We start from the raw sequence: 22069 nt of genomic DNA on the forward strand, positions 1-22069 counted from the left end.
TTCTCTCTCTTTCCACCGATTCTGGAGACAAGGCTCACAGCTGAGTAGAGAGGAAGCAGAGCAGTAGCAAGGGTGCTGCTGATGCTGCTCAGATACCTTGCCTGGTTCTGACAAGCGGTTTCCACTCCCCACCCAGTTCTACACGTGTCCCTGCACTGGGGAAGGCTCTCTCTGGGGTCACGGTGGGTGGGGGACAGCACAGCCAGAGTCCCTGTATTCCGAGGACTTGGGTTCTTACGAAGGGAGACGGATAATAAACACATTAGATAAGTACATGAACAAGTGGATGTCCAGCACTTACTGCGCTTTGGGAAAGATGAAGATGAAGTAATGCCTCAGAGAATGTTCCTGGGGGTAGAGAAGGAGGAGATGCTGAGAAAAGCTCCAAGTCTCCGGGAGAAGGTGACAGCTGGCCGTGGCCTCAACGAGGAGCGGCCGCATGGAGATCCAGGAGAAAACGTCCCAAACGAAAGAACAAGCGGTTGGTGCCCTGGATCAAGAGTGAGTCTGTGGGCTCCAGGGCCAAAGATGTGGCCAGCGTGGGTGTGCATTGTGGGTGAGGGGAGATACAGAGGAGGATGGAGCCAGCTGGGGTCAGGCCTGGATTCATGGGCTACTATAGCTTTTATTCTGAGTGAGGAGGTTTTACGATTAAGGTGTTGTGACCTGGAGAGCCTTATGCTGCTTCCAAAACTCCCGGGCTGGTGTAGAAAAGCAGAAGAGGAATCAGGTGGCTAGAGAGGGGCTGTCCTGCCAATGTGGGCACAGGGGATGCTGGCTTGGAGGAGGGCCACAGCTGTGAAGGTGGATAGCGGTGACGGGCTGTGCCAAGGTTTTGTACATGAGCTGCAAAGAAAAACACCATTCAGAGACCACTGACTTCTGGTCTGAACATCAGGTGCTGGTCTATAGTTTTCCAAAACAGAGAAAACTAGAGGAGCCACGGATGTACAGGATAAAGTCAACGGCTCTGCTTTTCCAGGAAAGACTGTGACACATGGAAAACATCCAGGTAGAAGTGTCGTGGGGTAGCTGGATGCACAAGAGTCTGAAGCTCAAAGCCAGGGCTCGGGCTGCAGATAGAAACTTGAGAGTTCTCAGCACGTAGACGTTCTCTAGAGCTGGGACTAGGCAGGTCACCCAAGGAGGACACACAGCTAGGGACAAAGGAGGGATGAAGGAGGGGCTTGAAGTGGTTTCCCTGGAGCTGAGATTGCAGAGAGGAGACGGGGCCCACAGAAGAGATGAGGAGGGCTTGTTCCAGACAACATGGTGCCTCTTTATCAAGCACAGCCATGAATCCTGGAATTCATGTCAGAGGGAGCCACTGCAGAACTTGGAAAAGTGGCAAGAGGAAGGCGAACTGTCTGGAAACCAAACCCGAGTGTCGGAGGAAGAGCAGAGTGGAAGGGTGCCTTCTGCCCCCAACCCAACAGAAGCAAGGGATCTGGCCTTTCCCATCCCCCAGGTTGGCAATGGAAGCCAGCCTTGGTGGACTCATTCCTGTCCTAGACCCAAGCGGAGTCCCTCCTATAGTAACAGGTGAACCCAGACCCGCCACCAGGTGGATCAGTTGGGAGCTTTGCCAAAAGTAAGTGGCCTGCGGAGACTCCTTCCCTATCAGGCCTGAGACCCCCCCTCCCCAACCTAGAGATGCAGGCATAGCTGGGACAGTGGCAAGAGGGACAGCCAAAAGGAATGGTGAAGCCTGGGAATCACCTCTGCCCTGCAAGCCTGAGACTCCTCTCCCCACACGGACAGTGGGGACCCGGGGGGTGGTCCCAGTGGGGTGGGGAGATCCCACCACAATGACTATCCAGCCAAGGAAGCCTGAGACTCTCCTCCCTCATGGAGAGATGCGGATGACCTGGTCTGCAGAAGCTCCTCCTGCCCTGAGGTCGCTCCCACAGGGACCCACGGAAGCTCCTCCAGCACCAGATACACCAAGCAGCTCAAACAATAGCACAAAGACTCTGAAAATTAAACTGTCATTAGAACCCCAGCCCACAAAAGTAGGCAAGAGGGAAACTAAAAGAATTTGTGGCTTGCAGATTTACTTTTAAAGATTGGATAAAGAAAACTCTTTCAACAGAAAAGAAATAAAAAATGAAGAAATCATGAAACATCAGAAAGGAAGAAAACAGGAGCATGGGTAGGTATCATGAGCACACTATTCCCTTCCTCCTGAATGGTCTAAATCACACACGATGATTGAAATAAAAATCACGTTACCATCTGATACTCAAGACGATATTTAAAACTGGTGAGGGCAAAGGTGCCTGAATGGAAGTAAGGTGTTCACACCTCACATGAAGACACACTGATACTCATAGAGAAAAAATGCAAAGCAATTGGAAGGCTGGGCTTTTCAACAAATGGTGCTGGAGCAATTGTTCATCCTTAGGAAAATTAAATGAACCCCCCAAACTAAACTTCACGCCTTATACAAAAATGAACTGGAAATGATTCATGAACTTAACTGTAAATGAGAAATCTGTACAACTTTTAGAAGAAACAATTTAAAAATATTAGGAATCTTATGCTAAAAAAGAATTCTTCAACAACAGCAAAACAATCCATGAAAGAAAAAATGTTTAACTGAACACTTTGGGTCAAAATGATGATTCTTTTTTTTTTTTTTTTTTACTCTGAAAAAAAGCCATGTGAAGAGGATAAAAAGACAAGTTACAAACAGGGAGAAAATATTTGCAAATCACATATCTGACAAAAGATTAGTATCTAGAGTTTATAAAGAATTCTTAAAATTCAACAGTGAAAAAACAACCTGATTATAAAATGGGCAAAAGGCATTTGGAGACAATTTCATGTAGAGTATGTACAGATGGCAAGTAAGCACATGGAAAATGTTGAGCGTCATTAGCCATTGGAAAAATAGAAATTAAAACTACAATGGGATATCGCTGCATCTCTACTAAAGTGGCTGAAATAAAAAAATAGTGATGATCCTAAATGCTGGCAAAGATACAGAGAAGCCAAATCACTCAGACATCACGGGTGGAAATGCAATACAGCCACTCCGGAAAACAACCGGGCAGTTTCTTACAAAACATTCAGTTGCATTCTTGGGTATTTACTCTAGGAAATCTTATATTCACATACAAACCTCGACATGAATGTTCATAGAGGCTTTATTTGTAATAACCACAAACCAGAAACATCCCACGTGCCCTCAGTGGTTAAACAAAGTGTACCTAATGCCATGGAAACCACTTAGCAATAAGAAAGGAATTCTTGTGGTGATAGACTCGTTCTGTGTCTAGACTGTCCTGGTGCATATGTGAACCCAGCATGTGGCAAAAATGTGCAGAACTAAATACACACACACACACACACACACACGAGCAAGTAGAACTGGAAATCTGAATAAGATCTATGGGTTGATCAGTCAATACCCTGGTTGTGATGTTGCACTAGTTTTGCAACATATTTTCTTTGGTGGAAACTGGGTAAAGGGTACACAGGATCTCTCTGTATTATGTTTTACAACTGCATGTAAATCTGCAATTCAATAAGAATTTTTAAAATTTTTTTTATTTTTGAGACGGAGTCTCGCTCTGTTGCCCAGGCTGGAGTGCAGTGGCGCCATCTCAGCTCACTGCATCCTCTGTCTCCTGGGTTCAAGTGATTCTCCTGCCTCAGCCTACCAAGTAGCTGGGATTACAGGCATGCACCACCATGCCCAGCTAATTTTTCTATTTTTAGTGGAGATGGGGTTTCACCATGTTGGCCAGGCTGGTCTCGATCTTCTGACCTCAGGTGATCCACCCGCATCCCAATGTGCTCGGATTACAGCTGTGAGCCACCACTCCCGACCCAAGAATATTTCTAAAAATGAAAAGAGAGAAGAGCGGAGATACAGGACTCCAGTTGAGTAGAGTGACACAGAAGAAACAAGATGAGAACAAATTTACATGTAGAAACACTCATCAGGTATGTTCTCAGTGCTTCCTGTAACTCGCTGAAACTTCACAGGATCCCATGAGATGAGAAATGCTATTTTATTTGGCAGAGGATGACCCTAAAATGTAGAGAGATTAAATAATGTTCCCACAGTCACACAGTTGATAAGCCCTGCTTTCATGGGCAGCACAGCGTAGTTGTGGAAGGAAACATTAAATAGTCCACCAAGTGACGTGTAAATGGTAAGTGCAAGACAGTAAGATTCCTGAGGGCAGGAACTCAGTGCATTTGTTCGCTGTTGTATACTGAGCACTTAAGAAAAGGCCTGGCATGGGGCAGGTGCCAGGAAAAGAAGCAGGAGCCAGCAATCTATGGGGAACAGGCTATCAGTTGAGGAGCGGAGTCAGGCATGTTTTGGCAAATGACATTTAAGCAGACATTGGAGTGATGAGTAGCAGTTGGCTAGATCAGATCCTCATTCCAAACATTCCAATGGGATTCTATCTCCCTTGGAATGAATCCAAGGTCCTTATCCTACAAGGCTTCTGGGACCTGGCTCCTGGCCATCTCTCTGCCCTCATCTCCTCCTGCCTTCTTCTCTTCCTGTAGGCTCCCTTCCTTGAACATCCCAAGCCCACGCCCATCTCAGGACATGTGCACCAGCTGTTCCTGTAGCCTGAAATCTCCTCCCTCAAACACACAGGACTCAACTCACTCCCACAGCTCCCTGCTCAAGTGTCGCCTTAAGAGAGGCCATCCCCACCCACCCACATAAAATCATGTCCCACCTGTGTCGTTCCACTTCCCTGACCCTGCCTTATTTTCCACTGTGCTTCTTCCCACCATCTGGAAGATATGTTTGCTCTCTGCCTCCTGACGCCGAAAAAGTTGTGTACACAGGGACATTTCTCTTTGGTTTGTCTAATGCTGCATCTTCATTCCCCAGAAGGGGGACAGGGGTGTGTGTGTGTGTGTAATGGTTGAAGAGAAGTGGAAACTGGGCATCAGTGCATGGATGTGCACTGACTCTGTGGCTCTGCCACTGCACGGGGAAATGTGGTTGGTGAGGTGAGGCAGTGAGGAGATGAACCCATGCCAGTCACAGTGTGAACTGAGAGCCCACATTTCATGAAAGCAGGGACCTGGGGAAAGAGAAACTACTTCCCATGGCCAAGGGAGATGCCAGGATCAGAGTCTTTGTGAAGACAAAATGGAAGTCTTCCTGGAGAAATCAAAACCTAGGCCTGCGCCTCCCCTGTGTGAATCTGTTGCCCCCTTGTGGCTGGGGATTACCTAAGCCAAAGAAATTTTCTTCTAGGTTCATGTGACCCCGAGATTGGCTGGGAGAAGTAAATGTAGAGCAGAGCTAGAAGAGAAAAGCCTTAATCAAATTATTGCATATTCTCACTGAAGATGAGCTCATAATCCCAAATTACAAAACATACGATGAGTGAGAGAAAACAGACAGTGTGAGCAGCCAGGTTTGATCAATCTGAACTAGAGTATAAAGAAGTATAATTACACAAATTAAGGGCATAAAAGTATAAAGTAGGAAACAGTAAGTAGAATTGCAATAGGGCCAAATAGAACTTCTAGAGGTAAAAATTACACACATACAGAATCTAAGGCCCTTGGTCATGTTGAACAGCAGATTAGATATAGCTGAAAGGAAAGAATTAATAAGGTGAAAGATAAAACCAAGGAAATTAACCAGGATGCAGCACAGAGAGATAAAGCTTTTGCCTGCAAATGTCTTTATTTTGTCCTCACTGTTGAATTATCGTTTAGATAGCTGGAAAGAGACTTGTATGTTTACTGTTATCTTCCCTTGGCACATTCAATATATTATAGACTTTATTCCATTATTGTATGACCTTCATTTACTTATCATTTACGAACATTTGTTGTAAACCTACAGTAATTAGGAGAGTATGATATCAATGCAGGGATAGACGAATGGGTAAATGGAACAAGGAAGGAGCCCAGAAGTAGATCCACGTATACATTGGTATAAAACAGAGTCAGCCTTACAATTCAGTAGGCAAAGAGTGAGCTATTCGCTAGTGTTGGGACGTAGGTTTTCCATATGAAATAAAAATACAATAGAGCTATAACCCACATCACACATACACTCCAGGTTGATTAAAGAACTGAACAACTAAAGCAGAACCCTAAACCTTTCAAAACTCAATAGAATATCTGTGTGGCCTCTGGTTAGAAAATAATATCTTAAATAAGACACATGATGTGCATATGCGATAAAGAAAAATTAAAGTATCAAAACTTGCATCCAGACATCTAAATCTCAAAAACATAATATGGATCAGGAACATGAATTTCAAAGTATACATAAAATACAACATAAGATATAAATGACTTTTAAAATTTAAAAACATGTGGAGCAACGAAATCTGTAGGTTCTGGATAAACATACATGTAAGAATGTTACACGCCCACAAAATTAACAATGCTGAATTCAGGATACCGGTTGCTGCTTCTGGAACTGGGGCACAGAGGCAGGTTTTGGGCTAGAAACAAGTGAATGAGGTACTTCAACCCTAACCCTTAACGTTTTATTTTTAAAAGAAAGTCATCCAAACCAAATACAGCAAAATACTGTGTTTTGAGAAATTCAAGTGGCAGGTATGAAATTATTCATGATTCCCTATATGGCTGCCTGAAATATTACACAGAAATAAAGGAAGAAAATGTTAAATATGTACATAAGGGTGCTGGAATTATTAACTGCGGATCTGAAGGTACCTGGAATCACCCTGGTGTGACTATTCCTTATTGTTTCTCTCCTCTAGAGAGTCTCTAAATGAGTTGACCTTTTTTTTTAATTAGTCAACTTCAAGGTGACAATCTGTTGCTTTCAACCAAGCGAGTGCTGACTGATGGAGAATCCTGCTGCTGCATCCTGCACAGGCGCTCCTGGCACAGTAAATCACCGACCTGATTTCTGGGCAAAACTCAGCACATTGGACTCCTTGTCTTACTGGATCGTGGACATTCTCAACAACCCCTGCGAGCCAGGGGATCACGCGGAATCTCAGCAGTTCTCTGGGATCCACTGCTCCTTCCTCACTCTCATCCAAGGGGCTTTGCCAGCACTGAGCAAGTGACACCCAGGTCGCCGCATGGCCGCTCCTCCCCCTCCGCTCCTGCCTCTAATCTCCTCCTGCGGAACGGGTGGGAGCTCTGGGCACTTACACTTATTTATGGTCATGTACTGCTGGAACTTAATGATACATAAATCTCAAATTATGAAGTCACAGCTCTCCATATTCCTGGCTCAAAATGATCCTCAGGATAAAATTACCAGGGAAGCAAACAGGAGGGCACCGTCTAGTGTTGAGGATTGCTCTGGATAGCTGGGGGAAACAAGTCTTTCCCAGGAAGCACATGATTCAAATGCCAGAGGATTTGCTCATTCTTGAATAAATGAATGAATGTGTGAAAGAAGACATCTGCAAAAATACATGTTCTTATTATTCATGTTTACAGAAGAAGGAGGCTCAGAGACACAATGTTGACAGGGCCGAGGCCTGGCACTACAGAATTACTGACGGACAGATCAATCACTTCTCTCTGAGGATACAGCCTGGGGAGCATTAGGATCAGCTTACTCAGGGCACCTCACCCTTTCTTGCTACCAGCTCTAGAGTCTTGTAGATGATCTTGAGAATCTCCCTAGGGTTTCTTGCCCCCACCTAATTTCCCTAAACCCTTCCTCCTCCTGACTTCCTTTTCTTCTCCATCAAGTCCTCAGCCTAGGTTCATTTTTCCTCTATAGACGCTGGTTTCTCCTTGCTCTGACCTCGTGGCATTTCCTTTGCCTTTCCTTCCTCGTCCTGGCTGAGATCCAGCTTTGTGTCCTTCATCCTTTCTCCCCTGCCCCTTTCTGCCTCCCCAGCTTCTCACGGTGGACAGAGACATTCCGAGATCCTTTGCTCGGTTTTCTCTTTCAGGCTGGAGTGCAGCAGGCTGGGCATGGCTGCCTTCCTTCCTCACATCCCCATGCTCTGGAAAGCCCTCAGAGGACCTGGGTCTCACCTCCACAGTCCCGTGGCTCCCTGCCCCTGCAGGCTGGACTCGCCCCTGGGCTTGGACCACCTCCAGCCAGACTCCAGTGGTGTGATAGAGAGGGCTCAGGATAGGGGGTTCTGCGAACTGACTCATCACCCCCAAGCAAGTGATAACCTCACTAAGGCTCAGTCCTAATAATCCTGCTATATTAACAACCTCTATACTTTTGAAACTGACCCCTAGTCCCATAAACAGTTTTTTGTTTTTGTTTTGATAAACATAGAAATGGATGCTTCTGGTCTTAAAGCTTGAAACTTGTATTTGTTTTATGAGTTCCTTTTTCAGGAAAGGGCCCCCAGGCCTCTCAAAAGCATCAAAGAACTGAAACTCACTAGATCATCTCATCCAGACAGTGAGATGTCAGACCCTTCATTCACCCTGATTGCTTCCTTACCCCTCTGAGCTCCTCTTTTCCCATACATTGTTACATTTCTTCCCTGCTATATAAACCCCTAATTTTAGCTGGTCATTGAGATGGATTTGAGAATCTCCTGGGCTGCAGCACCAATAAAGCTTTCTTCCTTGGTGATACTCTTTGTCTCAGGGACTGGCTTTCTGTGCAGTGAGCAGCAGGACCCAGAAGGAACCCATGATGTTTTGGTAACACCTGTTGTCGACTTGTCTCTAAAGTGTCATGTAGTGAGACCCCGTCTCAGAAATACACTAGGGACTCAGAGTGTTGCCATGTCCTCGGTAGCTTTTGGGATTAGTCTTCATTTCATTCACATATTAAAGGCTGTGGTTTTTGTGTTATTGCCTTGACAGCCAGTGCCTGGTTCCCTTCCCTGAGTCTTTTTCCTGTCTGGGTTTCCTCTTCCTCACCCTTCTGTTGTAGAACTCACCTTTGCCTTTACCCTGTTAAAGAAAACCAGAGCTGGGCAGTAGTTAAAAGCGGCAAAATATATTTTACTCACGACAATTGCAGCAGGGGAAAGAGACTTTGGCATAGAACTGGCTCAAGTCCAAACATAGCATGACAACCGGGGATTCACAGCCAGGGAGGAGGGTGGGGTCAGGGGATGGGAAGTCACTGAGAAGACATCAGGGTGAGGGGGAGTCTGGCTAAATGGACCTAATAGGATTCTTGCTGAAGACAGACCAAGGTGACCGACATCACCTGGGGGATGGTGGAGAACAGGAATTTGGTCAGATATTGGAGGTGATCAGTTATGGAGCTGGGGATTTTTGGCTAAACCGACTTGACGGAGTTTTGCTAAAACTGAGCGATGCAAAGATGAGCAGAGACACCCTCAAGGGTGGCCGAGTCTAGAAGAGGCTCAGAGGAGCCTGACAGCAGGCAGCCCCTTTCTCTGTTCTAGAATTGAGAGCCCTTTCTCTCCTTTGCAACCGACATGCCACATCTTTGTGTCCCAGGGCCCCAAGGGACCAGCCTGTGGCCTCGGGCTGTCTGAGGACCTCCCCACCCAGGCTTCTGTGAGTTTTCTGTGACTTCCCTTCCTGGCGTTTCTCTCCTCGGCCTCAGCGCTGCAGCAGACATGGTTCTTGGGTCCAGTCACATTAGTGATGAATGACCCTCTCCAGCCTCCACTGCCTGGCGAGGTGGAGCCCATGATCAAAGTTGCCCTGAAGGTGGAGCCCTGCAGCGGCAGCTGGGCGAGGCCCGGGGCATGTGCTCAGGAACTGCATCAGGAGGGGCCTCTTCTTTCTCCCCGCCTTCTGTGCCACCAGCTCTGTCCCTCTATGGGGCAGCCGACTCACACCCATAGAGTGGGCTAGGCATGTCTTTGCCAGTGCCATGAGCTCCCTGCCCCTTCTGCATGAGACTCTGTGGGGTGCAGGCAGCAGCTCAGTCATCCTCTCTACAGATGAAGAGAAACCCGGGATGCCCCATGGCCACACACCACACCAGAGGCCCAGCAGGAAAAAACTGGGCCTCCTGATTCCTGCCTTTCTTCATTCCATCACACGCAAACTGCTGGAGCGTGGTGCTCAGGAAGAGCCATCGGGTCCCTGAGCTGGTCCATGTCACTCCAAAGTGAGGGGCTCCTGCAAACATGGCGTGTAAGGAGCGGGTGTTTAAAAAATGGGCACTTGCAATGAATTTGGGGTCAGCTCTACTTGCAGTCCCAGTCAGAACTATCCCTCCCTACCTGCCAGCCACCACCCCACACCCCACCACCCAACAGCCCACCATACATACTCCTGAGACAGACATTTTAATATATTTTTTCTACTCTCTACCTTGGCTCCTGGTCTCTGGACGCTCCAGGGCTCTCCCAGCATAGCGCCAGGGCCTTCTTTAATTAGGAGCGGCTTCTCTGTGGTTCTATAAAGGTCCAGCAGCCCAGGGGTTTATATAAGATCAGGAATGGCCATCAGTGATGTTGATTTCAAGAACATTGGGGCTACTGTGAGACAGACCGAGGAGCTCAGCATCACTGGCATACACATTGGTCACAGGCACATACAACAGGCCACAGGTACACACACCAGGCTACCAGCACACATGCCAAGACACAAGCAGGAATGGTCAGGAGGGGTTGAGCCCCAGGACGAGCTGGATAGGTTCTTCCTTTCCCCAAAAGAACAGATAAAAGTAGCAGGACTTGTGCTCCAGGATCTGACTCTGGTCACCGCAGGCCTTTGCTCCTACCTCCAGCCTCCAAGGCAGGGGCCAGTCACCAGCAAACCCATTATTTTCAAGAGCATGTGAATGCATCTTCCAGCTTCAAATTCTTAATAATCATTTAGACTATGGAAGGTGACATTGGTATTCCCATTGTACAGATGAGGAAGCTGACAGCTCAGGAAGGCCAGTGATTGACATGAATTTACACAGCCCTCCTGTAGGGCCAGGTTTCGGGCCCTCTCCTGTCTGTTCCAGTGTCCTCTTTTAATTCTCTCCTTTGCAGAGAACCTACCACAATCCCTGCCCAGGGAAATCCGCTGCCGGCCACATTGAGGCACCCCTGGAGGAGGACGGGGAGGCAGGGAGAAGCAGAGTCTCAGCCCCGGCCACACTGCTGTCTGAGGCACCCCTGGAGGAGTACAGGGAGGCAGGGAGAAGCAGAGTCTCAGTCCCCAGTACCCCAAGTGAGGACCAGGGTGTGGAGACCAGCAGCTCCCCTGGGATCAAAGGCATGTCCTATTCCTGGGGGCCGTGCAGAGCCCTGACGACGTGCATGAGTAAAGGCTCACAGTGCCTCATCCGCCTGAAGGATGCTCTGGGGAGACAGCAGCTCATCTCCAAGTGGGTCAGAGCAAGTTCTGGAGACTTCCTCTCTCTCTTTTGCTCTCAAACAGGCAGCACATAAATTGAGCTCCCGGTGACCTCCAGGAGAGAGAGATCACCAGGGAGAGAATTGCTGGTGCACCCGCGGGTTGCTGGCAGTGAGAAGCACGGAGCGCGGCAGGGAGAGGGACCGGCATGAGGACTCCTTGGAGCCCTTAAGAAAGGTGCTGCTTCCTTTACCTTTCAAGTTCATAAAGTTTTGTTCTTCTAAGTTGTGAGAGAAAGGAATTTGTGATTTATTTGAGAAGGTTTTCTGAAAAATCTTTTTCACAGTTAGCCAAGAGCTGACCTGTTGGGAAGATAGATGAACAGCTCGAGTCATAAAGATTCCTAAGTGACGTTTCTGTGCAGGTTATTTTCAGGGGGGTCATTGCCACGGAATTGCAACTGCAGACCCGTACTTGGCACCTGGCTCTGTTAGGAAAGAAAAACAGGTGTGGAAGATCCAGCCCAGGGGCCATGTGCAATGAAGATTTTCATTTCTCCCGGTCCCTGGGAGATAGACACATTCATCTGACCTCTCAAACTCATAACTGGCCCCAACCTCCTGTGCAGGAGGGACAGGGCATAAGGCCAACGTTAGAAGACTAAGCACAGTCAGCACAGTCCTCCTCTACCGAGGCTGGGCAGCTAGGATGGACCCCACATCCCTCAGATCTGTGGTTCAGATCCTTGGTCCCCCAGATGCTCCCCAAGGGCCGGGCTCCGAGTCTGGTATTTTCCTTCTGAGATCTGGGCACAACCACTCAGGCCAGAAGGGTGCTATGGGACTTACAGGGGGTGGGGAGGAAGCTAAGGAATTGAATCTCACCCGCTTTCTTACTGCACTTATGTTCCACATCTGAAGATGGGCGTGTGCTGACTACGTTGCCTTGTTCGTAGTGGATTCATTTGCTCTAAGGTGTCACTGATTGTCATTGATTACTTATGTACCATAAGACAGGAAAAATGAAATTGTCAACGTGGATCAAAGCAAATGACCTAGGCAAATCTCAATCATTTTAGGTTTATTTGCCAAAATTAAGGACGCGCATCCAAGAGACAGATGTATGCCTTTCTCTGAAGATGATTTTGAGGGCTTTAATATTTAAAGGGGAAAGGGCAGGATACTGAAAAATACATAATTTCATGTGCCGGGAGGGTAGGAGAAACAGCCATTCATGCCTTTGTCTGCGTCAGGCAATCTGCATTTTTACATAAGGTAATGTAGACAAGAGGGCAGAGGAAGCAATGAAATATGCATTTGTCTCAGGTGAGCAGGGGGATGACTCTGAGTTCTGGCCTGTGTTCCTGTGTCTGGGAAGATAAGCGATCAATTTACGTTGCAGGATGCACTTCAGCAGAACTGTTTTAGGGTGATGATCTTGGGGGCCACCAGGAATTTCCTTCTGGGCAAAATGTGAGGGAGGTATGTAGCTTTTCATCTTTGTAGCCGTCTTTTTCAGGAGTAAAGATGGGAGACAGGTTTGTGTGGTCCAGTTCCCAGCTCGACTTTTCCCTTTGGCTGAGTGAGTTCGGGGTCCCCAGATCTATTTTCCTTTCACGCCCAATTAAATTTATCTATGCATTGCTCTCCCATAACTTGGAATTAGTATATTAGTATATATCACATACTTTAAACCTATATCACTTTTGTGGGTACATAAGGAAAACAGAAGTGGAATAAATTTGGTAATGTATTTGTGTTCATTTCTTATCAATGTGGTAACAAATTGTCACTAATTTCGTGACTTAACACAACACACATTTATTATTAGGTTGGTGCAAAAGTAATTGCAGTTTCTGCCATTAAAAGGGCAACAACCACAATTGTGTTTGCACCACCATAGTATCTTGTGGTTCTGTATGTCAGACTTCTGACATGGGCATCACCGGATGACAGTCTTGGTGTCACAGGGCTGATTCCTTCTGGAGGCTCCAGGGGAAATCCATTTCCTTGCCTTCTTCAGCTTCTAGGCTGCCTGTGTTCCTCGGCTGAAGGATCCTTGCTTCCCTTTCAAAGCCAACAGACACCTACCATCTTGAAATCTCTCTGACCTGAACTCTTCTGCCTCCCTTTTCTACTTTTAAAGAGCCTTTGATTACACCGGCCCCACCTGGATCATCCAGGCCACTCTCCCTATGCTAAGGTCAACTGAGGAGCAACCTTAATTCCTTCTGCAACCTTAATGCCTCCTTGCTGTGTAACAGCATTCACAGCTTCTGGGATTAGGTCATGGACATTTTCAGGGGCCATTATTCTGCCTACCAATCGTAGTATCCTTAAAACTTTAAACAAGTATTTACAACCCAACACTCTGAAACTTTTTTGATTAGGAATTGCCTATATTTCTGTTTTTCACAATCATCCTCTGCCCTCCAGAGCATCTGGGCAGCATTCATGAAGGGAGTGCCCCACGTGAAGATCCAGGATTTATTTCCCAGTCACTGCACCTGTTCTGCAAGCTTTGGCATGCATGCCTAGACAATGACCATTACATAAAGACCACTGTGTGGTTAACAGACATGGCAAGGACATCCAGATTTCAGAGGTTTTAAAATGTGGAAGAAGATGTATCATGGAATTGATGAAATATGGCATTCTTTAATATTACAGACAATGAGTATCAGAAAGCATTTGATACTTGATAGCATTTGATACTTAATCAGTTGTAATATCAGCTTATACTTAAAATTATCTGTAAGTAATATATGTAAGTAAGCTTTATGATGGACAGGAAACATAATTTTCTTTATGGTTCAAAGCTGTATCTGAAGTTCCTGGAAGAATATCAGGAACAAAGTAGGTGTTCAGGAAGTATGTGTTGAATGAATGAGACATATTAATTAAGTGAATGGGCTAATGGATGAAGGAATAAATGAATCCATTCAGTGAAATCTATTATTATTTTATTCAGATAAGAGTTATTGAGAGCCATTAAGTGTATTAAATTATAGAATGCTGCATGTTGTCTGTGTAAAGGATGCCCTTTGAGAGATAGTTATCTCCTCTTCTTGCCTCCCATTCATTCAGCAGGACAGAGTGACCCAGAAGAGCAGAGAGGCCAGTGGTTCCTAGCCCCTCGCACACAGCATGTGCTCATTGAAAACTGTGAGTGAATGGAGAGTGGATGGAGCCATGGACACTTGGACAGATGGATGGATGGTTGCACAGATGGATGGTTGGTTGTCAGCATAAAGAAATGCCTGTTAACGGGGCCTCTGATGCTTTTGGTTATCCTCCAGTAGGAAGGATTATGGATGATCCGTTTTACTTGCCTTGAACTCTGGGTGGCTTAGCACACATTCTTGGAAACAAAGACCCATGGATACCCTCATGAGATGACCCAGAAAGTCAGGACTTTCCAGAGGGAGAAGGCTGAAGAAACACTGAGCCATAAAGCTCAGAAGATCCCAGGCTGCAAAGCCATCGACTATCTGAAGGAGGCCGGCCCCCTTTACTGCAGGCACTGCTGGCTCTGAGTGTGTCTGTGCCTGCTGGCTGATTCCCTGTGTGTCAGACCCGGGACACATCACCTCGGGGTGAGAATGTGTAACATCTTCGTGTGTGGGTGTAGCAGCTGCAGTGGGAACATGTCTGAATGACTTTGCACAGTTCTGGATGGCAAATAAATGTTTAAATAGGTGCATCCTAGGAGGTACACTTCAGATCAGCTCTCACAGTCTAAGCATCACTTCCTCATGCAAAGCACTCTCTGCTGGGCTTTGACCTCTTGAGCTCCTTCCCTGTTATGTAATAGTATCTACCAACCAAATGAAAACTGGGGGTGCCCCCTAAGGCTCCAGCCTGTGAAGGTGGAGAGCCTCCTGCAGAGTCACATGTCTGCAACCTTGTTAGGTTGTGACTCTGGCGATTCCATGAGGGGTGAGAGTTATGGCTGGTAACTTAGTAATTTGCATGCAGGGAGAAGCACCCAAGATCTGTTGATTACTCGGCCCATTCTTTCTGACCCAGTCAAAGACGAGCCCTTCCTGGAAGAAGCCACGTGGGCCCCGGGGAGGGAATTGTGTTAGTAAATTTACCGGCTCATCCTCTTCCACATCCATGACTCTGTGGGCAGAGAGAAAACTCAGAGTCCCAAAAAGGTGCCAGCAGATCAAAGGGAGGTGTAGACTTAATTTCAGGATAACATATTTATACAACATCTTTTATTTTTAGAATTTCATATTGGGGTCTAAAACCTCGAACTCCAGTGGAAGAAACCACTTGCATTTCCAAGGGGGTGACCCTCGAAGTTCTTTTTCCAGGGGAAAGACATTTAATTTCATCTTGTCTTCCCATATTTGTTCCTGTTAGATTACATTAAACGAGTTATTTTTAATCATTGTTCATAAATCACAGCAAGGGTACGCCCTGAGGCACAAAACATTTGCATAAAAATATTAATTGCCACTATCTCTCCTTTGGGGTTCGTGGGAAATTAATGTGCAGGCAGCCAGTGGCAGGCACGAGGGCGGATAGAGGACAGGATGAAGGAAATGGCCTCCCTCAGGCTTTATGTCCTCCCCTGAGAAGTCTCCATCAGTTCACAATGTGCCACTCAGAACTTCAGGATTCTCCTCAGATGTCTCCTCCTACATGGAGCCTGCCTGGATTTCTCCTGTGTCACCTGTGCGCCATGACTGAACCCCTCTTAGGAAACTTGAACATCCTTCCGATTTCACACATCTGCGGACGTGTCCCCACGTGGACTGGGAGGCCGCTGCCTGTGGTTCCTGCCAGAGCACAGAGTGACCAGCAGAAGAATGAGGTGGGGCTGCCCTCTGTCTCCTGCACAGGCTTCCCCCACAGTCTGTGCTTCCTGAATACAGGCGCACATGATGTTCTCTCTGAATTTACCCTTTTAATTAAAAACAGGAGTCATTAGACCATGAGCTGAGCCCAAGTCCCCGATTCCAAAACAGAAAGCAGACTGTTGTGTTCTGCTTCTATAAACCACCATTGCAGCCTGCATCTCTCCCACTGCATTGCTCACCAAGAGCAAGGCACGCATTAGGAAGCATGGCAACGTGTCTACCCAGGCCAGGAATTCTGTAAACCAGAGCCTTAATCTCCAAAGCAGGCCTCACAGCAGGAGGTGAGCAGTGGGCAAGTGAAGCTTCATCTGTGTTCATGGCTGCTCCTCTCCCCATCACTCACATTACCGCCAGAGCTCCACCTTCTCTTAGGTTAGTGGCGGCATTGGATTCTCAGAGGAGCGTGGATCCTATTGTGAACTGCACATGCCAGAGATCTAGGCTGCATGCTCTTTATGAGACTCTAATGCCTGATGATCCTTCACTGTCTCCAATCACCCCCAGATGGGACCAGCTAGTTGCAGGAAAACAAGCTCAGGGCTCCCTCTGATTCTACATGATGGTGACTTGTATAATTATTTCATTACATATTACAATATAATAATAATAGAAATAAAATGCATAATAAATGTAATGTGCCTGAATCATCCCAAAACCACCCCCCCTCACCCTAGTCCAAGGAAAAAAAAATGGTTGGGGACTGCTGCTGCAGACCATGTGTCCACTCAGGAGTGCAGATCCAGAAGAGAAGGGAAGGGAGAAGGCAGGTGGGGTTTGGACGGCTGTGCTGGTTTATCCACTCTCCATTGCCCCATGCCCGTGGTATAAATACCCCTGCTGTGGCTGAACTTGGGTGACCATCAGGGTATCATTGGCCTTGTCATCGGCTCTCCTGAGCTCCTACACGTGGGCTTCCATGCACCACCCGGATGAGTACTGGCTTCTTGTTTCTTTTAGTTTTCTTTGCTTATTTATGTGTTTTTGCAAGAGGAGAGGCATAGCCCTGAAGTGACATCTGTTGTGCTGCAATCGAGATTCCAGTGCCAAGTTAAAGACAACTTCCAAATATAAGGGTTGTTACATATTTAGTTCAGGGCTAGCACAACAGCACGGCAGTTTGACCCACATTACAGAAACTTTTTTGTATGTAAGTGAAAGGTATTATTGACAGTAAGTTTATAAGTGACTAGAAGGGCTTTGGCTAGAGAAGATTCACAGTATTGCCATGAGATCTTGTGAAGGAAACAGAGAGTGACTGAATTTGGCTGACATCATGAAGGTCTAAGGCAGCAGATAAGCTGCCTTCTTCTGCTTCCATTTTGTTATTTTATTTGTCCATTCATTTATTGATTCATGGGTTGTTGTGTTCCTACCATCTACCAGTCACGGTATTAAATCTACCAGTCATGGTATTAAATCTACCAGTCATGGTATTAAATGCTGTGACTTGGAGGTGAAAACCGAGGCACAATGATCCCTTCTGCCATTAAGCTTGTCATCCTGGAGCTTGGTCTCACCACCCAGGAACCTCCTACAATGAAATTCCCACATTTAGAGCGCCTGAGTTAATGGTATGATTGTGTGTGCATGTCAGTGTGGGGGGGGGGTACCATGACAACTAATGAATCTTAGAATCACTTTACTGGCTCCATCATAAATTATCCTAAACTTTCTTTGTTCATATTCATATTACAAAGTTAGACTATGCTGCCTGGCGTTGGAATCTGATAAAAATCTGATTTTATGTCAGCAACCAGCAATCTTCCCCGGTGGTAGATTGTCCAAGCTGGCCTTTGGTTTCTTGTGCAGTCCAGACTGAGAAGAAAGTCTTGGCATTTCTGAGACTGTAGGGGGTTGTTTCAGCCCATCTGAGCATGGTGCACAAAGGCGGAAGCAGGCTGGTCCTCAAAGGACTACTCTGAGAAGGAGAAAGCAAAGGCTATGGGCTAAATGTCAGGGTCAGAGGAATGGCTCCAGCCCTGCAGAAAAAATTATGTGTCTCTAGCAACAACCGAAAGGAAACAGGAAAGGAAAGAAAAATCCCTGAACACACTCCAGTCTCAGAGTGGGACAGGGCTGAGCTCCACTGGGCAGTTCCAGGTGGGGGGGTGGGAACATGATCCTGTTCCTGGAAAAGTTCCAACAAGACAGCAGGCTATAGCCAGCCAGCTGCCTTGGGCACAACACAGAGCTTCCTAAAGACCTCAGGAGGTAGGAAAATCCTAGATGCTGAGAGACTCACTCAGGAGGGGGCTGAGTGGACAGAGGTGGATTTGAAATCTGAGACCCTGGTATCATTCCAAGGCCTCTGGCCCTCAGCCTCAAGAGGAACAGAGCTTACTCTTCCCTGATAATGTATGGACAGGAAGCTGCTAATCCCCTGTTCAGTGAGCCACCCTTCTGCCCATGGGCTGAGGCAGCAACTTTGTCTCTAGATCACCAGGCAGGGCTCCCTTAGATGAAGACTGACCACAGCCTGAAGCCATGGCCCCAATTGCGTGGGCTCTGAATGATGTTGTTCCTCAGACAGATATTTTAGGTAGACTGAGACAGCAACTTAGTGTATTTAAAAGAAAACAGGCTTGAAAACGGAGGGGGCTCCGTTCAAGTCCTGGCTAAACCTTGCCAACTCTCTGACCTTAGAGAACCAACTACTATTTCTGCATGTGGACGTCTTCATTGGTAGCATAGAGATGCCCTGATCTCTCCTGAAGGGCTGAGGCAGAAATGGGAGGCCAGGTATGCCTGTATCTCAGGCACTTCACAGACAGTTGAAATTAACACATGCAGGCTAGTTGGCTGAATGGAACACAAAACTCAGGCCGTTTTCTCTGGTCTTTTGATCCAAACACTTTCATATCTGAAATACCCAAAGGAAATGAATATTTTGCAAGCATAGGAGCAATAGGGGGGTCAGGAGTTGCCTTTGAATGCTCTGGAAAAGCAAAAGCTTCCTTTCCTCTCTTTGCTTGGCTGAGGAGCCCAGATCAAAGGTCCCCACTCTCCCCACAGTGCTGTTCTCTGGGGACATCATTACCATGGACCCAGCCATTTGTTGGTTTCAGTGCGGTGGTGTTTACACAGAACGACTTTACTGGCTATCCCTCCTCTTGTCCCAGGAAATGTCTTTTGTTTTATCAGGCAGAGCAACAAAATCATATGATGAAATAATCATCAGGATAATTAACCCCTTTCATCAAGAGAGCTAAGAACACACATTTAAGGACCACATATTAATAGCAATAATATTTAGAACTGGAAAAAATGATTTTATTGCTGCAGAAAGACCTGAGGAGTAGGTTGGCCCCTCTAATTGATGCTGAGTGTGAATCTGCGAGTTGGGCAGCACACAAACGTTAATTAGTTTGTGCTCGGGCACACACCAGCTCCAGTACACTCAAGTTTCATCCCAAATTGCTGCTACCATTTCCCACTTTCTTCCTGGTAGACATTATTACATTTGTGATGATTCAAATAGATTTTCTGCAGGCATTAAATTTTTAGTAAACAGACCCAAATTAACAGCTATTTATGACATTTTACTCTAGGGATCAAATCAAAAGCACTCATTTCATATATAAATATCTCTTCTTCTCTGCTTTTAATGAACGGGTATTTTTGTTGCTGCTGTTGTTGTTGAAGGCAAAATTAGACACATGCCTCACCCCTCCAGGCTGCCTAATCATACGTGCTCCGTCCCTCCAATTGAGAGAACGTTATTACCTTTAGGAGTGAAGACAGAAGCATGTTAATTTTCCATAATTCAGTGAAACAAAGCATAGATCTGAAATCTCCCTCTGTGGAACTCCTTTCTCATCTACAGTAATGGGCTGCCTTTTAATGAAAACAATTCAGCCTGTTCTAATGTCACCATCAGGGCAACACGGACTTCACTGGATCCTGATTTGGGAAGACGGTCTTTTCATTATTCTTGGTGTTGTGCAGGCAATAAAGGAACTCGAGTGTCTATGAGTGACCTTGCTGGTGGCAACGTTGTGTTTAGTGCTAATGAGGATGGCTTCACGGTGCAAGGATGAAAGGGCTGGTGGAGGGGTTTTGGCAGCCGCGAGCATCCGTCCGCTTCCCGCACTGATGGGAGGTGCTCACAGCTTATTTACTGCGTGCAAAGATGAAATACTGTCATACCTGGGCAAAGCTAACTGTCTGTTGGCATAGAGACCAAATTTTGGACTCCAGTAAATTTTGCAGAATCACAGATGACAGGTCAAACTGTGTTTTTTCCCCTTTAATGGGGAGAAATTACAAGTTTTCATTCACATTTCACGAATGGACAGGCAAATGGGCAAGGTGTCATTGATACCATGTTGATTGAGAAATGTCTTCTAGATGAAGATGGCAAATTTAACACACTCACTTAGCTCTTTCTCTTCTCAAACCCTCATTACAATTACGACAGAAGGATTTTTCAAAAGGCCTAAGCCCACATGACAAAGGGAACAGATGAAGACGACACAATTTTGAAAACGGGAAAGAAAAGGCTCAGTGAAAGTGACTTAGTACACAGTATCTTGGTTTGGGGCCTCATCAAGGTGAGGCTTCAAGTACAACTAGCTTATTCAAAAGGTGAAGAGAACTCCCACAGGGATGCGGGAAAGTGAGACGGGGAAAGGAAGTCACCAGGAATGGGCGCATCTTCAAGCCAGTTACCACCAGGGGCAACTTGAACCCGACCTGCTGGGGAGAGTCTGGAAGCCAGGGTAGAACACCTACCTTCCTTCATTAGTAGGGTGCAAGAAAATTCTGAGGGAACCTTTCAGAAACTAACAGTACAAAGAAATGGAGAATAGCAGAGGAATAAGAAGAAGGAGAAGGAGGAGAGGAAGAGGAAGAGGAAGAAGAAGAAGGAAGAAGGAAGAAGAAGGAAGAAGAAGGAAGAAGGAGAAGAAGAAGGTCTGTCCAGGACTTCACATATCGTCATGGTTAAGCTTCAAAAGGAGAGACTATCCATGTGGAAGGGAGGGGAAAATAGCAAAGAAATAATTTAAGAACATTTCCCAGTACTGAGGTCATAAGTTTCCAAATTGAGTTTTCTCTTAACCCCCACTTTTCCCACCAACTACTACATTTATTTTTACTCTGTTTTGCAACAAAGATTATTATCTGTGACCTGTCTCTCATTCTTTTCTAAACTGACATCAATGAGGCATCCAGTCACCAGTAACTTTCATATTGCTAGACCAGCAGTCAGTTCTCAGGTGCCGTGTGGTTTGCTCTCACAGCAGAGCTTGTATGTGCTGTTTGCATGGCTTCCCAACCTCGCCCCCTCTTGCTCATTTTGTCTTCTCCTTCCCGCCTCACTGATTGCTCTTTCTCAGCCTCCTGTTCTGGCACCTCCTATTCTCTTTGAGCTTTAATTGTTGGAGTGCCCCAATATTGGATGTTCTGCATGAGGTCCAAACTCACCGTCTCCATGGCTCTCATTCAGGGCAAGATCTTGAAGCCCATCCCTATTTTAAGGACTCTATGTCTGCAGATTAGAACTTTCCTCCTAATCCCAGACTAATCTATCTAGCTGTACTTGTCACATTCTCTGGATGTCTGTCATCTCAGACTCAAAATGTACAAAATTAGATGCCTCACCATCCCCCCAAATTCCACTTCACCCACAGCCTTCCTCATCTCAGCAATGCTACGTCTACTCCTTTTAGTTGCTCAAGCCGAACATTTTGCAATCATCTTAAGCTCCTCTTTTTCTTTTTTCTTTCCACCTCCAATATAACAGGAAATCCCACTGGCTCTGCCTTCAGGATGTATTTAGAATGTAACCAGTTCTCTCCTTCACTGCTGCTGCTGTACTGAGAGCATCCACTTTGTCTCTCGTCGGCACTGCTACGGGTCTTCCCAACAGGCCTTCCTGCTTCTACCCTCACACAGGCTGTCCTTAACTCCGGAGTGACAGTAAGACTGTAAAGCTGTGTTAACTCATTGTCACTACTCTGCTAAGAGGCCTGCTTGGGTCCCTCTATAACTCGGAAGAAAAGTCAGAGC

General features: G+C 46.3%; 1 long non-coding RNA gene across 1 annotated transcript in view; it reads left to right on the plus strand.

Moving 5' to 3' along the window:
- EPIC1 (epigenetically induced MYC interacting lncRNA 1) overlaps positions 1-22069 on the plus strand; it is a 223927-nt gene that overhangs the window by 201041 nt on the left and 817 nt on the right. The window lies entirely within an intron of this gene.

Source organism: Homo sapiens, chromosome 22 (genome assembly GCF_000001405.40).
Source record: "Homo sapiens chromosome 22, GRCh38.p14 Primary Assembly".
In the NCBI taxonomy this organism is placed as follows: Eukaryota; Metazoa; Chordata; class Mammalia; order Primates; family Hominidae; genus Homo; species Homo sapiens.